This window comes from Homo sapiens, chromosome 1, assembly GCF_000001405.40.
Source record: "Homo sapiens chromosome 1, GRCh38.p14 Primary Assembly".
Lineage (NCBI taxonomy): Eukaryota > Metazoa > Chordata > Mammalia > Primates > Hominidae > Homo > Homo sapiens.
Window position 1 is genome coordinate 18,789,659 of NC_000001.11, and position 14,475 is coordinate 18,804,133.

At 50.2% G+C, this 14,475-nt stretch overlaps 2 annotated features.

Moving 5' to 3' along the window:
• Window positions 3,037-3,538: an enhancer, noted in NCBI's record as "H3K4me1 hESC enhancer chr1:19119189-19119690 (GRCh37/hg19 assembly coordinates)". NCBI's record gives its function as "activates a minimal SCP1, AML or CMV promoter by ChIP-STARR-seq in primed H9 embryonic stem cells {active_cell/tissue: H9 hESC(primed)}" and the evidence as "EXISTENCE:reporter gene assay evidence [ECO:0000049][PMID:30033119]".
• Window positions 3,539-4,038: an enhancer, noted in NCBI's record as "H3K4me1 hESC enhancer chr1:19119691-19120190 (GRCh37/hg19 assembly coordinates)". NCBI's record gives its function as "activates a minimal SCP1, AML or CMV promoter by ChIP-STARR-seq in primed H9 embryonic stem cells {active_cell/tissue: H9 hESC(primed)}" and the evidence as "EXISTENCE:reporter gene assay evidence [ECO:0000049][PMID:30033119]".

The following is a 14,475-nucleotide window of genomic DNA, read 5'->3' on the forward strand; positions in this document are numbered from 1 at the left end:
CTGTTCTAGAAGCTGGGAATTTAGCAATAAACAAGACAAACAAAAATCCATACCCACAGTGCTTATATCCTAGTTGGGCAGACAGGCAATAAACAAGATAAACAAGTCAAATGGATAGTGTTACTGTAGGATTCCATTTATATGAAGTTCAAGAACAAGCAAAACTAATCCATGGGGATATAAATCAGGGCAGTGTTTGCTTTCAGAAGGAAGGGACATATTTAAATGTCCCTCAAGAGTAGAACAGATCAAGAAACTGAGACTTATTCATGCAACAGAATAGAATACTACAAGACACTGAGAATCAGTAAATGAAGATCAACTAGCCATACGCAACAGCAGGTCAAGTAGAAGAAGCCACGCACAAAACAGAATGTGTTGTGTGATTCCATGTATAGGAAAGCGGCCATTTTTGAGGGGCGGTGACTGGCAGGAGGGATCGGGGAGGTTCGGGAAACCAGTGATGTTCTATTTCTTGACCTGGATGCTGGCTTCCCAGGTGCACTTACCTGGGGAAACATTTTCCAGCTGCATGCCTACAATTTGTGCTCTTTTCTGTGCTTAGGATGTAAAGCAATACAAAATTTTAGAAAAAGACAACTTTAAAATAAAAATCTGTTGCTTACAGCAGGGGCTCAGCTCGCCAGCTCCTTGACATCCTGAAGTGACAACTACTTGTCCACCCTTAGTTGCTGAGCTTTTAATGAGAACTGCCTTTCTTTGTGGTTAGGTGTGTGTTTTTCTGAGAATGGCTTTTTCCTCTTTTCTGTGATTTGTGAGAGAAAGATAGAGAGAGGGAGAGACGGAGCGCTGTCAGAAAACTCCTGTAACATAGGATCAAGACACTTTTGGCCAGGGAGGGATAAATAGGGTTCTCATTCCACATACCCCATGCTTTGGAAATCACAGATCTGATTAAATTTTCCACCCCAAAATTTATGTTGCTTATCCATCAGCATAAAGAGGTGCTCAATAAATGAACGAATGCATACAAAAATCAGTGAATGGCTGGCCATGGTGGCTTACACCTGTAATTCCAGCACTTTGGGAGACTGAGGTGGGAGGATCACTTGAGCTCAGGAGTTCAAAACCAACCTGGGCAACATGGTGAAACCTTATCTCTACAAAAAATACAAAAATTAGACTGGCATTGTGGCGAGTGCCTGTAGTCCCAGCTACTTGGGAGGCTGAGGTGGGAGGATCACTTGAACCCGGGAGGAGAAGGTTGTGGTGAGCCGAGATTGCACCACTGCACTCCAGCCTGGGCAACAGAGAGAGACCCTGCCTCAAAAAAAAAAAAAAATCAGTGAATGAATGAAACAAAGGCTCTGTAGCACCTCTGATCCTGGTTACACACATCTGGTGATGGGTAACTTATCCCCTCTAGGGGAAGCCTGACCTGCCACTGAGGAGCTCCAGTTGGCAAAGGCTGCCCTTAATGGAACCCTTGTTCTCCTCTCCATCCTCCTCTTCCCATTTCTCCAACCTTCCTTCAGTATAAACCTCCCCCAAAGGGCATGGGTCCCAGCTGTCCACCCCCAAACACACACACACACACACACACACACACACAGAGAGAGAGAGAGAGAGAGGTTCCCTGTTAGAACCAAGGAAGGAGGGGAGATCCGCTCATGCCTGTAAGTGGGGAAAGAAAGGAAAAGATAATCTGAGACCACATTGTGCATTCATTCATTCATTCACTTACTCGTTTATTCACTTATCAGTTAACCTCTTGGCTCCCCTTCCTGGGCAGATCTTGAGCTAAGCATTAAGACCTGAAAGGAGGCCAGGTACAGTGGTTCATGCCTTTAACCCCAGCACTTGGAAGGCCGAGGTGGGAGTAACACTTGAGGCCAGAAGTTCAAGACTAGCCCGGGGAAGATAAGTGAGACCCTGTCTCTACAAAACAAAAAAGAAATTAGCCCTGCATGGTTGTGCATGTACCTGTAGTTCCAGCTACTCAGGAGGCTGAGGCAGGAGGATCACTTGAGCCCAGGAGTTGGAGGTTACAGTGAACTATGGTCCTGCCACTGCACTCCAGCCTGGGCAGCAGAGCCAGACCCTGTCTCAAAAAAAGATAACCATGATGAATAAGAAATCACTTTTGCCCTCAAGGAGCTTCCAGTTCGGTGGGGGTCAGGCTGACATGTAAGAATATCTGTGCATTACCTGGGCTGCACTTGAATCCAGGAAGGTGGTTGATGGGGAGTGGCGGGACCTGGAGCTGATATTTCTCTCCCAGCATCCCCCCACCCCACGTCTAAAGAGGAAAGAGATTCATAAACAAATGGTCACCGACCATGCAGATGCTTGCTGGGCTGGTGAAAATAATAGTGCTAATAATAATAGTAGCAGTTTTTCAAGCAACTAATCTTCAATGCTATTATTATCTTCCAGTTTACAGATGAGGAAGCTGAGAGGTTAAGTCACATGGCTCAGGACACGCACTGCTAATGGGAAAGGAAATGAGATTCAAACCTGTAATCGTCTGACCTAATGACCAAGGTGCCTCCTTGGAGAGGAGTATGCGAGCATGGAAGGAGGACACCCACTCTGACCTTGGAGGCTAAGGAAGGCTTCCTGGAGGCAGTGGCCCTTGATCTTGTTCTTGAACGATGTTGAAAGACTGAATATACAAATGGACAATGGCCAGACCATATATGAAGATAGAACTTAGCCCGCAACCCACAGCACCCTGCCCAAGAAACAAACTCCCTCATCTGCAAAAGAAAAAACAACCCAGGAAACCAGCCTGCTGGAAGTCACACATGCTATCTCTAGGGACAATCCAGAAAGCTAAACAATAACTTCTATAACAATAGACCCAAAATGGTCAGGCCCTGATTAATAACTGACAGCTTCCCTAATTTTTGTTCCTGTATCCAACTTACAACCAGAGAAAGCCAAATGTGCACCCCTAATCAATCACACGGGATGCCCCGCTTCTAGTTAGCCACCTCCAGCCTCCCCATGCCCATGGCCTCCCATCGGGCCACACCCGAGGCTTCTCTTCCCTCACCACCCCACCGCTCCTCTCTTTGAATCTCAGCCAAAACACAAGTGATGGAGGCTGACTCCTTTGCTACAGCAAGCTCAGAATAAATAGCCTTTGCTTTTCTCATTGGGTCAGTCTTCTTTATTTCCACAAGATGTAGGAGTTTGCCAGGTGGCACAGTAAGGGAAGGAAGAAGCCAGAGAGAACGGCATGTGCAAAGGCATGGAGGTGTGAATTAGCCAACCATGGGAAGCGGAGAAAATAAGAGATAAGGCCAGTGAGCCAAGAAAACTCCTACTCATCCAACAACACCCAGTTTGAGAAGTCTCCTCTATGCATACAGAATAAGTACCTCTGGGGTCTGCAGGGACCAAGTGAACTTGCTCAGCTGGTACCCACCCAAGACCCCCAGGAGTAGCTTACATCACCAGGTGAGGGTGGTTGGAGATGGGGAGCTCTGTTGCCTAGATGCGGGGCCAAGGCCAGTGAGCCCTTCTTATGCTCCTGCCCTGTCTGGGCTGCCCAAGCCTCCGCCTGGCCCTGCACCCCACACCCTGGTGCCCCCTCCCCTCATGCATCAGCCATGTCTTCTCCACCTTAGCTGCCCTCCGTGACTGTGCTAATGGGTATGGACTGGCAGCGTGTTGTGATTTAATCAAGGCTGGAGACAGGATTCCCCCCGCTGCCACCGCTTGTACTGCCCGGGGCCCAGGATGCTCAGATTAATTTACAGGATGTCACAGACACTGTTCTGCCGTGCTTTTCATCTTCCCCAGCCAGGTGTAAGGTTTCCCAAGGTCCTGAACATGAAGCCTCAGCACCCGGGCTCAGAGGCTCCATGCTCCATCCCGTCCTCATATACCTCCCCAGCTTAGGGGTACAGGCTGCAAATGAGACACTCCAGCCACGAGGAGGGGCCTGGGGTGGAAGCTCCATTCAGATGTCTGAATCTGGGATGGGCTGTGTGGCACAGGAAGAGAGAGGCTAGCCTGGGATGCAAAAGAAATGGGTTAGATTGTCAGCCCCAGTCTAGAGGACATTAAATCATCCTAAGCTCCCTATTTACCCCCGACCCTCACGCCAATTCCTTCCTCTTTTCATCTTCAACTTAACAAGTGTTGTCTGATCACAGCCTATGGGCCAAGGGCTGGGGATGCTACAGGGAATAAGATACGGTTCCCGGCTGTAGATAGTCAGTGTTCTCTGGGCCTCAGTTTCTCATCTGCAGAACGGGGCACCAATCCCTCCCTGGATGGCTTCATGGAGCGACTGTGAGGATCCTGGAGGGTCGTTAATGTGGGCATAGTGGGAAAGCAGTTGGTGCAGAGAATAGATCACCCAACACAGAGTCAGGGTGCCTGGGTTCAAGTCCCGGTATAGCCACCGGCAAGCTGAGGGGCTGCAGGCAAATTACTGCTTCTCCCTGAGCCTGTCTTCTCGCTGCAAAGTGGGGAGAGCAGACATAACCTAAATAATATCTATTTGTCAAGCACTTACATGTGCCGGGCACTGTTCCAAGCTCTTCGGAAGACATGAGTTAATTTAAGCTCCACAACCTCCCGTTTCGTAGATGAAAGAAACTGAAACACAAGAGGTCAAATAACAGGCCCAAGGCCACACAGCCAGGCAGTCTGGCTCCAGTACCTGCTCTCCTAAGCCCCTTGCTCCGGCATCTCTCACCACCCATCCATGAGCACCTCGGCCCAATCAGGCATCTCTCCGCCTCCCCAGAGTTCACGCAAAACAAATGCCTCTATAATGCTCTCTCAGAGTCCACGGCAACCAGGTCTCATTTTATTTTTACCTTTCTTGGTATGTGTTTCTGTCTTTTGGTTTGGTTTTAAGCATCAGACAGGAAACTCTATCAGGGCAATTGCTATGCCTCCCCCATCCGGTAGCTCCCTCAAACAGGGGCTGATCTCCCCATCATTCTGGGGGTTCCCCAGAGTGAGGACAGGAGGGGAGCTCTGGGTCTCATGGCAGTTTTTCCACCGGCCTGTTCTTAACCTCCCCAGTTCCCATCGGAGGCCCAGCCCTTCCTGGAGCCATCTGGTCTACCTCCTCAGGGGCACCACCTGCAGGATGATTCTCTCCAGCCGCCTTGGGGAAATGAATATGGTAATACCCTTTCCTAAATTACTGTCGTAGTTGGCTGAATGTGAGAAACCTAGAGCTGGGGGCATTGGCAGCTCAAGTGCTAAGAGTTAATTCAATTAGCCAGAGCACAGAAAGCTTGGGCCTGCTGTCTGCCTGCAGCACAGACCAGCAGGCTTCCGGGGCACTTTCCACACCTCTGAAATCTCAGCTCCCCTTCCACACCCCATGTGGCTTTCCCAGTCTTCCCTTATCCAAAACTAAGGCTTAGATTAGGACAAATACCTAATGCATGCAGGGTTTAAAACCTAGATGATGGGTCGATAGGTGAGCAAGCCACCGTGGCACGTGTATACCTATGTAACAAACCTGCACATTCTGCACATGTATGCCAGAACTTAAAGTAAAATACATAAAATAAAATAAAATAAAATAAAATAAAATAAAATAAAATAAAATAAAATAAAATAAAATAAAATAAAATAAAATAAAACTAAGGCTTGGAAGCATGAGCGAGTCCAACTCCAACAGGCGACCTGACATGAAAGGGCCCTGACCCGAGGCCCCTCAGCACGTCGTGGCAGCCTCAGGCTTTGAACCCAGGACTTCCGGTTCAAAGTTCTGCTTTTGCATTTGCTGCTCCCCCTGCCTAGAATGCTCTCCCCTAGATCTTTGCCCAGCCCCCTCCTTCTCATCCTTCCCTAATCCCATCATCTAAAGCCCAGGCACACTCCCTCCAGGGCAGCACCCATCCCCCTCCCTGCCTTGCTTTCCAAGCGTGTTGTCTTCCACGGAGAGGGCCCTGTCTACCTGATCCCCACCTCCCCCCATGTTTAGGCTGCCAGCCCCATGAAGCCAGCGCCACGGCCGTCTGCCTCACATCAGTCTAGGTCACAGCTGTGTTGCCAGAACCTGGCATGTGGTTGTCTTCAGTAAATCTTTGTGGAATGAACAAATGGGGGTCCATGAAGACCCCATAGCCTGGAACTTGGGCCTCTTGTTCTGTGGCCATGGCAGGAGGGATGCCAGGGGGACCAGCACTATGGGCCACACCCTTCCCAAAGCCTAGCTGTGGCTGCAGCCGCCTCTGATTAGGCCCCGATTCACAGAGAGGCCTTTTGGCCATCAGCTTCCATTAGTTGCATCAAATTTTAGCTGGGAAGCCTGGCTGTTGCCCAAGAAGGTGGTCTCCAGAGAGGCCTGGGCAGGAGTAAGCTTGGGTGAGACTCAGCATCCAGGGTCTCAGCAATGTGACAGTACAAGCTCTGCGGGAAGGCTGGGGTAGGGTGAGGGAAGGGCAGGGGAAGCTAGGGGCAGCGAGGAGTGTTCCCTGAGTGGTGCCTCTGACATCCATCACGGGGTCAGGAGCTCACTCAGCCTCCCCCTTCTTCACCCTTATTCTGGATCTGCCACCACCATTCCGTGTGACCTTGGGCCAGTCACTTGCCTTCTCCAGGGCTCACTTCCATGACTGCAAAGGGAGGGGATAAAACATTTTGGGGGCTCCCCCAGCTTAGGGATTCCGAGGTTCCATCTGGCTATGATTCCCACATTCCCTGGATGCTCGGGGGTCTCCACGATCTCCCTGCCTCTTTCCCCCAATCACCCTGTCTCCCTGTGGCTGGAGTTATCTTTCTAGCACAAATCACCCCATGTCCTGTCCCTCAGCCTCTGTCTCTGCTGCCTCATCTCTTGCCACTTGCCACCAAATGTAGCAGTTCCTTTAAAAACCAAACATACACATACCACGCAACGCAGCAGGGGCGCTCCTGGGCATTTATCCCAGAGATAGGAAAGCTGATGTCCGCACAAAACCTGTGCACACAGATTCGTAGCAGCTGTATTTGTTGGAATGGCCAAAAGTTGGAAACAACCAAAATGCCCTTCAGTGGGTACATGGTTAGGCACACCCTGGCTCATCCATCCCATGGAATAATACTCAGCATGAAAAGGAATCAACTATTGATACATGTAGCACCTGGATGAATCTCTAAAGAGTCATGCTGGGGCTGGGCGTAGTGTCTCATTCCTATAATCCCAGCACTTTGGGAGGCCAAGGCCGACGGATCCCTTGAGCTCAGGTGTTTGAAACCAGCCTGGGCAACATGGCAAAACCCCACCTCTACAAAAACAAAATCAAAAAAGAACCTACAAAAATTAGCCAGGCGTGGTGGCATGTGCCTGTAGTCCTAGCTACACTGGAGACTGAGGTAGAAGGATTGCTTGAGCCCAAGAGGGTGAGGCTGCAGTGAGCCCAGATCGCACCCCTGTACTCCAGCCTGGGTAACAGAACAAGACCCCTGTCTCGAAAAACAAACAAACAAAAAAAACCCTGCTGGGTAAAATAAACAAAGCCAACTCAAAGTCACATGCTGTATGAGTTCAATTCTATAACACTCTTGAAATGATGAAATCATAGATCAACAGATTAGAGACTGCCAGAGGTTAAGGATGGTTGTGGGAGGAAGGAGAGCGTGGTTATAAAGGGGTAGCACAGGGGTCTTTGTGTTCTGTATATTGGGTGTGGTGGTGGTTACACAAATCTACACATGTGAAAAAATGGCAGGGAACTGGCTGGGCTAGGTGGCTTATGCCTGTAATCCCAGCACTTTGGGAGGCCAAGGCGGGCAGATCACTTGAGGTCAGGAGTTCGAGACCAGCCTGGCCAACATGGCGAAACCCTGTCTCTACTAAAAATACAAAAATTAGCCAGGCATTGTGGCACACACCTGTAGTCCGAGCTACTCGGGAGGCTGAGGCAGGGGAATCACCTGAACCTGGGAGGCAGAGGTTGCAGTGGGCCGAGATCACCTCACTGCACTCCAGCCTGAGCAATGGAGCAAGACTCTGTCTCAAAAAAAAAAAGAAAGAATAAAAAAAAAGAAAAAAAGAAAAGAAAAAAAGCAGGGAACTATACAACACATTGTCCCAATGTCAACTGCCTGGCTTTGATATCAAACTAGAGCTATGTAAGATGTCACTATTGGGGAAAACTGGGTGAAGGGTACATGGAACCCCTCTGTACTATCTTTGCCAATCCCTGCGAATCCATAGTGATTTCTAAATAAAGATTTTTTTTAAGCAGGATTCAAAAGTCTATACAGCATGGCTCTAATGATGGGATGACGGTTGTGGGGAAGGTGGAGGCCGCTTTTCCATAATAACACCATGGTAGACTCACATGATCCCTGAAAGGCTCTTTACAAGCATCAGCTCATCTTATTCAGACAATCCTCCCATGATGTTGAAAGGGATTCTTATTCCCATCTTACAAAAAAGGAAACTGAGTCTCAGGAAATTGGAGTCGCTGTCCCAGGGGCAGAAGAGAAATTTAAGCCCAAAGTGTCCTACTTTCAACCCCCCCCCCACCTGCCCCTCGCCTCTGCTTTAGTCTCATTTGCCATTGGGTGGTGGTGTTTATTTTCTTCTTTCTACTTCTCTGTATTTCCTCTAATAAGCATGCCTTCCTGTAATAATCAGAAGAAAAAATAAGCAAACACTAGAAAGTGTTCCTTGGTGGGTTGCCTGTTTCTTCTGGAGCCTGTGGCACCACAGTCTACGATTTCTGTCTCCTTGGCACTCTCCTGGCTGCCCAGGACGGCAGCCGCCTCCAGGGCCTTCTGCCACACGCACCCCCACTTGCCCACTGTAGACAGTGGGGTCTGCAGTCAAAGCCCCAGGGCTGCTCACACACACTAGGAGCCCTAGCACAAAACTCTTAACCTGGGAGCCTCAGATTCCTCATCTGCAAAATGGGAATTAGTAATACTTCCCGCTTGTCAAGGTTGTTGTGAAGATCCAATGGAATAAGATGGTAATATTCCACCGATATTTGCTGTGTGCCTACTGTGTGAGAGCATTTGATCATTTGCAAAACTGAACGCTGCCTCAAATCCCTCCTGGACCATGGTGAGGTAGGAATTGCTAAGTAAACATCACGGCTGTTATCGTTGTTCTTGTCCCTGCCTAGCTGGCGGCAGCCTTGTACATCCAGACGGGCAGTGGTTCCTTGGGAACCTCGCAGAACCGGGTGGAACCGAGCCTCCCTGGGAATGGCAGCCCCAGAGGAGAGTGGAACATGCCACAGCCCACAAGACCCCGAAAGACCCCGCTAGACCCCGCTTTGCCTGCTGGTTTTCTGCACCAAGAATCGATTTTCAAGGGTGTTTCCCAGAAGTGGTCTGGCCTCTCTGGTATCATCATTCATCCCACCCTGGCCGCCAGCCACTCCTCACCAAGCCCTCTCTGCCCTGACCGCCTCTTGTAATTGGGGCCCCCATCACAAGTGAGAAGGGGGAGCAGCTGGGACAGGAAGCCGCTTCCTGAAAATACCCTGACCTCACCCATGAGGGTCTGGATGCCAGCACCCCCTGCCCGCCATGTCCTGGCCTTCACCCCCTGAGGCCCTTGGCAAGGCTGGGCCAGGAATGCCACACTGGGGCCAGGGGAGCCTTTCCCAGGCTGGGGCTTAGAGAAGAAGGGTCTAGGCCAAGTGGTCAGAGCTGAGGGTGGGGTACTTCCTGCGTTCCAGGGGGAAACGAAGCCACTGCCAGCTTCCCATGCTCATCCCAGCTTGCAGATGTTCCAGAGAGTGTTCAGAGGAAGTGCAAGGATTAAGACAGGGAGTAGGGGACAGAACAGGAGAGGATCCACCCAGGGAAGGTGAGAGAAGAGCCCTGGAGAGGTCACAGGGATCAGTGGGAGGAGCCTGGGACAGAGGACACACAGGCTGCCGCTGCTGCTGACCTGCTGCATGACCCTGGGACAGTCACATCCCACTCTGGACCTCAGTCCATCTGCAATCCAAGGGGGCTAAACAAGACAGTTTATTTCAAGAATTCACTCAGCACCTCCTGCTGCGGGCCCTGGGCTGGCCCCTGGGGGCAGAGAAGCAAAGGAGACAGGCCTCCTTCCTGCCCCCTGGAGCTAACTGTGGGTGGGAAGGCAGAGAACAAACAATTTCAATAAGGAATGTGAGATGGGAAGTGAAAGGGTGCCAGGGCAGACCGGGGTGCCAGGGGCTGGGAGGATGGGGCAGGGTCTTCCTGGGGGATCAGGAGGGCTTCCCTAAGGAAGGAAAGACCTGGATACATAGGAATCCACTGGATGTCCCAGACTCAGGGAATAGCATGGCTGGGACTGGGAAGCTGGTATACGGGGAGGACCAAAAGGCCCAGGGGGGCTGGGCCATTGTCCCTGTTGGCCACGGTAAGGATTTTGATCCTCTAACAAGAAACCACGGAAGGGGAAGATGGAATAGAGGTGCTGCTGTGCCTGGGGCTGGGGCCTTCAGTCCCCTTCTCATTTGCAGAGGTGCCTCAGTGGAATCCCAAGGCCTCAAGGAACCCAGTTGGGAACCACTAGGGCGGCCAATTTCTAAGGACACTTCTGGGCTCCATGAGGATTCTAGGCCATCCCCAAGCTGCACTTGGGCCCATGCTAGCACCCTCCAGCAAGGCTTTGACCAAGCCCCACCCCAACCTGACCCAAGGGAGCAGCTCACCAGGGCCTCGTGCCCAAGAGGCTCATCACTGACCACCACCCCCCACCAAGTCTCAGGAAGTAAGGAGGGGAGAAGTGAGGTCATCTGGCCCCAAATAAAGGCTGGTTTCTGCAGATGTAAGGCCTTTCCTTCTTCCTTCCTCCTGTTCCGGCCCTTATCATGTCCAGGTCAGGCGCCACCTCTTGAGGAAAGCTTCCCTGGACCCCTTAGGCAGAGTTGATCCCTCCCTCCCTTTGGCTCCACGCCACTGTAGCCACTGATGATCTCACCAGTGTGTGAGTTCCCAGAGACAGGGGTGGCATGGCTGCATCTGTGCATTCATTCATTCGTTCATTCAACAGGGGCTGGGAATGCTGTGATGAACAAGGTAGGCCAGCTCCCTGTGCTCAGGGTGCTCGCAGTCACCTGTGACCTAAAATAGTGCCATATTTATCTTTGTACCTCAGGGGCCCTCTCAGGGCCTGGCACCAAGGGCCCCCAGTGAGTCTGCTGAATAAGTGGATCAGAGAACAACAAGGGTGGACAGAAAGAGAGTTAGGGGAATGTGGAAGTGGGGAGGAAAAGCCCCAGTAGGGAAGGTTCTGTGGGCCTCACCTTCCCCAGGTCTCACCCACATCCTAGGTTGCCCCCAACCTAGGGCAACTTCTCACCCAACTCAAGGACCTTGCTTAGCAGCGCTACCGGACACCCTGATCCCCTCCCTAACCCCACTGAACTGTGGCCATATGCTTTCCAGTCCATGCTGGATTTTTCAAAAGGAAAACAAGGAACGGCAAAGAAAACCAGATCCCAAAGAAAGCACACAGGCATGGCCGCAGGTACAGATGCCTTCAGGCAAGTCTGCCTGGACAGCTGAAGGGATGTTGGCCAAGGCATTGTTTCAGCATGGCTGGGCGGGTGCTGCACCCAGAACACAACAGCATCCCTCAAACCACCACCACCACCAACATCAGTAACAGTGTCAGCATCAACACCACCACGACCACCACCAAAACCAGTAATAACATTAGTACAAACACCACCACCACCACCACCACCACCACCAGTAACAATGTCAACACCAATACCACCACCAACACCAAAACCAGTAACAATGTTAGCACCACCACCACCAAAACCGGTAATAACATTAGTACAAACACCACCACCAGCAACAATGTTGGCACCAATACCGATACCACCACCATCAAAACTAGTAATAATGTTAGCACCAACATCACCAACACTGACACCACTTGTAACCATGTTAGCACCACCACCAACACCACTGTCAGCATAACATTAATACCACCACCAACACCACCATCAGCATAACATTAATACCAACACCAACACCTCCAAAACCGATAATAATGTTAGCACCAACACCAACATTAACACTACCAGTAATCGTGTTAGCACCAACACCACCAAAACCAAAACCAGTAATAACATTAGCACCAACACTACCACCAACACCACCAGTAATCATGTTAGCACCACCAGCACCAACACCAAAACTAGTAATAACAGTAGCACCAACACCATCACCAACAAAAATACCACCTGTAATCATGTTAACACCACCACCACCAACAGCAAAACCAGTAATAATGTTGGCACCAACATCACCAACACTGACACCACTTGTAACCATGTTAGCACCAACACCAACACCACCATCAGCATAACATTAATACCAACACCAACACCACCATCAGCATAACATTAATACCAACACCAACACCACCAAAGCTGATAATGTTGGCACCAACACCAACATTAACACTACCAGTAATCATGTTAGTACCACCACCACCAAAACCAAAACTACTAATAATAGTAGCACCAACACCATCACCAACAAAAATACCACCTGTAATCATGTTAACACCACCAACACCAACACCAAAACCAGTAATGATGTTAGCACCAACATCATCAACACTAACACCACCCGTAATCATGTTAGCACCACCTCCAACACTACCATTAGCAATAACGTTAATAGCAACACCACCACCATCAACCCCATAACATTACCACCTCCAATAACAATAAAAAGAACACCCTCAACACCAACACCAATAACTTCAACATTACCAGTAGTGACAATACCCCCAACACCAATAACAACATAACACCTACATCACCAGTAAAACATTAACACTACTATCACCATCACCACCACCACTCCTAATAACCTCAACACCTAATAACCTCAACACCAACACCAGTAACTTCAACATGATCAATACCAACAACACGATCCCTCTCTAACAACACTACCAGCAGCAACATTAACACCAACACTGTCAGTGTCAACGCCAGCATCAACAACCCCAACACCAATAGCAAAACATGACCAATACCAACACTACTACCAACTACATCAATACCCCAGCATCATCACCAATACCATATCACCGCCGTCAACAACAGCAGCAACAATTATTCCAACAACAGCCACTGCTACCTTAACCCACCTGTAACACCTTCTACATTAGTAGCAAACCCGGTAATACCATGATATCAACAAAAACCCCCTTCCCGACACCCCACTGCCACCAGCACTCACTTCGTACCAGGAACTGTGCCATGCACTCTACACACATGATTTCAATGAAGGCTCATCCCAACCCCATTCAGTGTCTCTCTTATTATCTCCAGCTACATAGGAAAATACAGAGGCTCATAAAGGTTAGCCACTGTGTATCAGGACAAGAATGCTGGACTCCTGACTCCTAGTCCAGTGCTCTTCCCACTGTATCTGTGTCTATCTCCATTGCCTGGACATCCTCCTCCAGCCTGCTCCTCTTGCTCTGTGAAGTTGGGCTGAAATTTTCTCCATGGCACACACAAGCTGTGACGCCTTGGGTGAGTCTCTCCATATGTCAGGGTCTTTCTACCCCCTCCTGCAAAACAAGACGGTACATTATTCTATCCTGAGCGGCAGGCAGACCCTGAGATCGCACATATAAGTCTTCAGGCAGGGCGCCCAGGGCACAGAAGGCATGGAGTAAGGGGCAGTTGTTATTGTTATCAGGATTGGCAAGAAAAAAAAAGAGTACTCTCATTCTGCCGACCAGGGCTGAAAGCCTGCATTCATTCATTCGATGTTGGTAGCAACAATCACAGCCATAACAGCTTGTGTTTATCGAGGACTCACTGTGTTGCCAGGCATGTCCAAAGCGCAGCACATGAGAAAACTGAGGTTCAGAAATGTTAATGAATTAACCAAGCCGAGAAGTGGCAGAGGTGGGATTTGAACCCAGGCAGCCAGGCTCTGCCTGTGCTCTTAATCGTTTGTCTACACCTCCTCCAGTAATATAATTAGCCTCTACTGAGCACCTACTATGTGCTGGTGCTTCTCAGGTATTATCTCTCATCTTCACAACAACCTTGCAGAGCAGATAATACTGACCCTGAAATGAACTTGAACTTGGAGTCCACCAGGCTCTCGCTGTGCCACGGGGCCCCCACCTCCCTGTCTCCTGGGCCATGGCACTCTGGATACCCGGGGGAAACCCTGGCACCCTGGGGGCAATGTCCTCAGGTCCCCTCCCAGGGCAGGTCTATGTTAAAGGCTATTCAGGCACACAGAGGGTGGCTGATTCCAGGCAGGGCCCTCCTGGCTCCCAGAGCTCTTTGGGATCCAAATGCCACCCCCTAACTATCACAGCCCCAGGGGAGCCCAGGGGCCAGGCCGGTTGGTTTTTGGCATCCCCATGAGCAGCTGCCCGGGCAGAAGGGTTTCGTCTTTCCAGGCTGGATGGGAGAATCCTGCCTCCCTCCCGAGTTCTTGTTCCCAGGGAAAGACCTTGGCAAGATCCCTGATCCTTCCCTTCCCTGGGACGGATGGCTTCCAGCTGCCTGCCGCCCCCAGCCTGGGAAAATTCCTCTG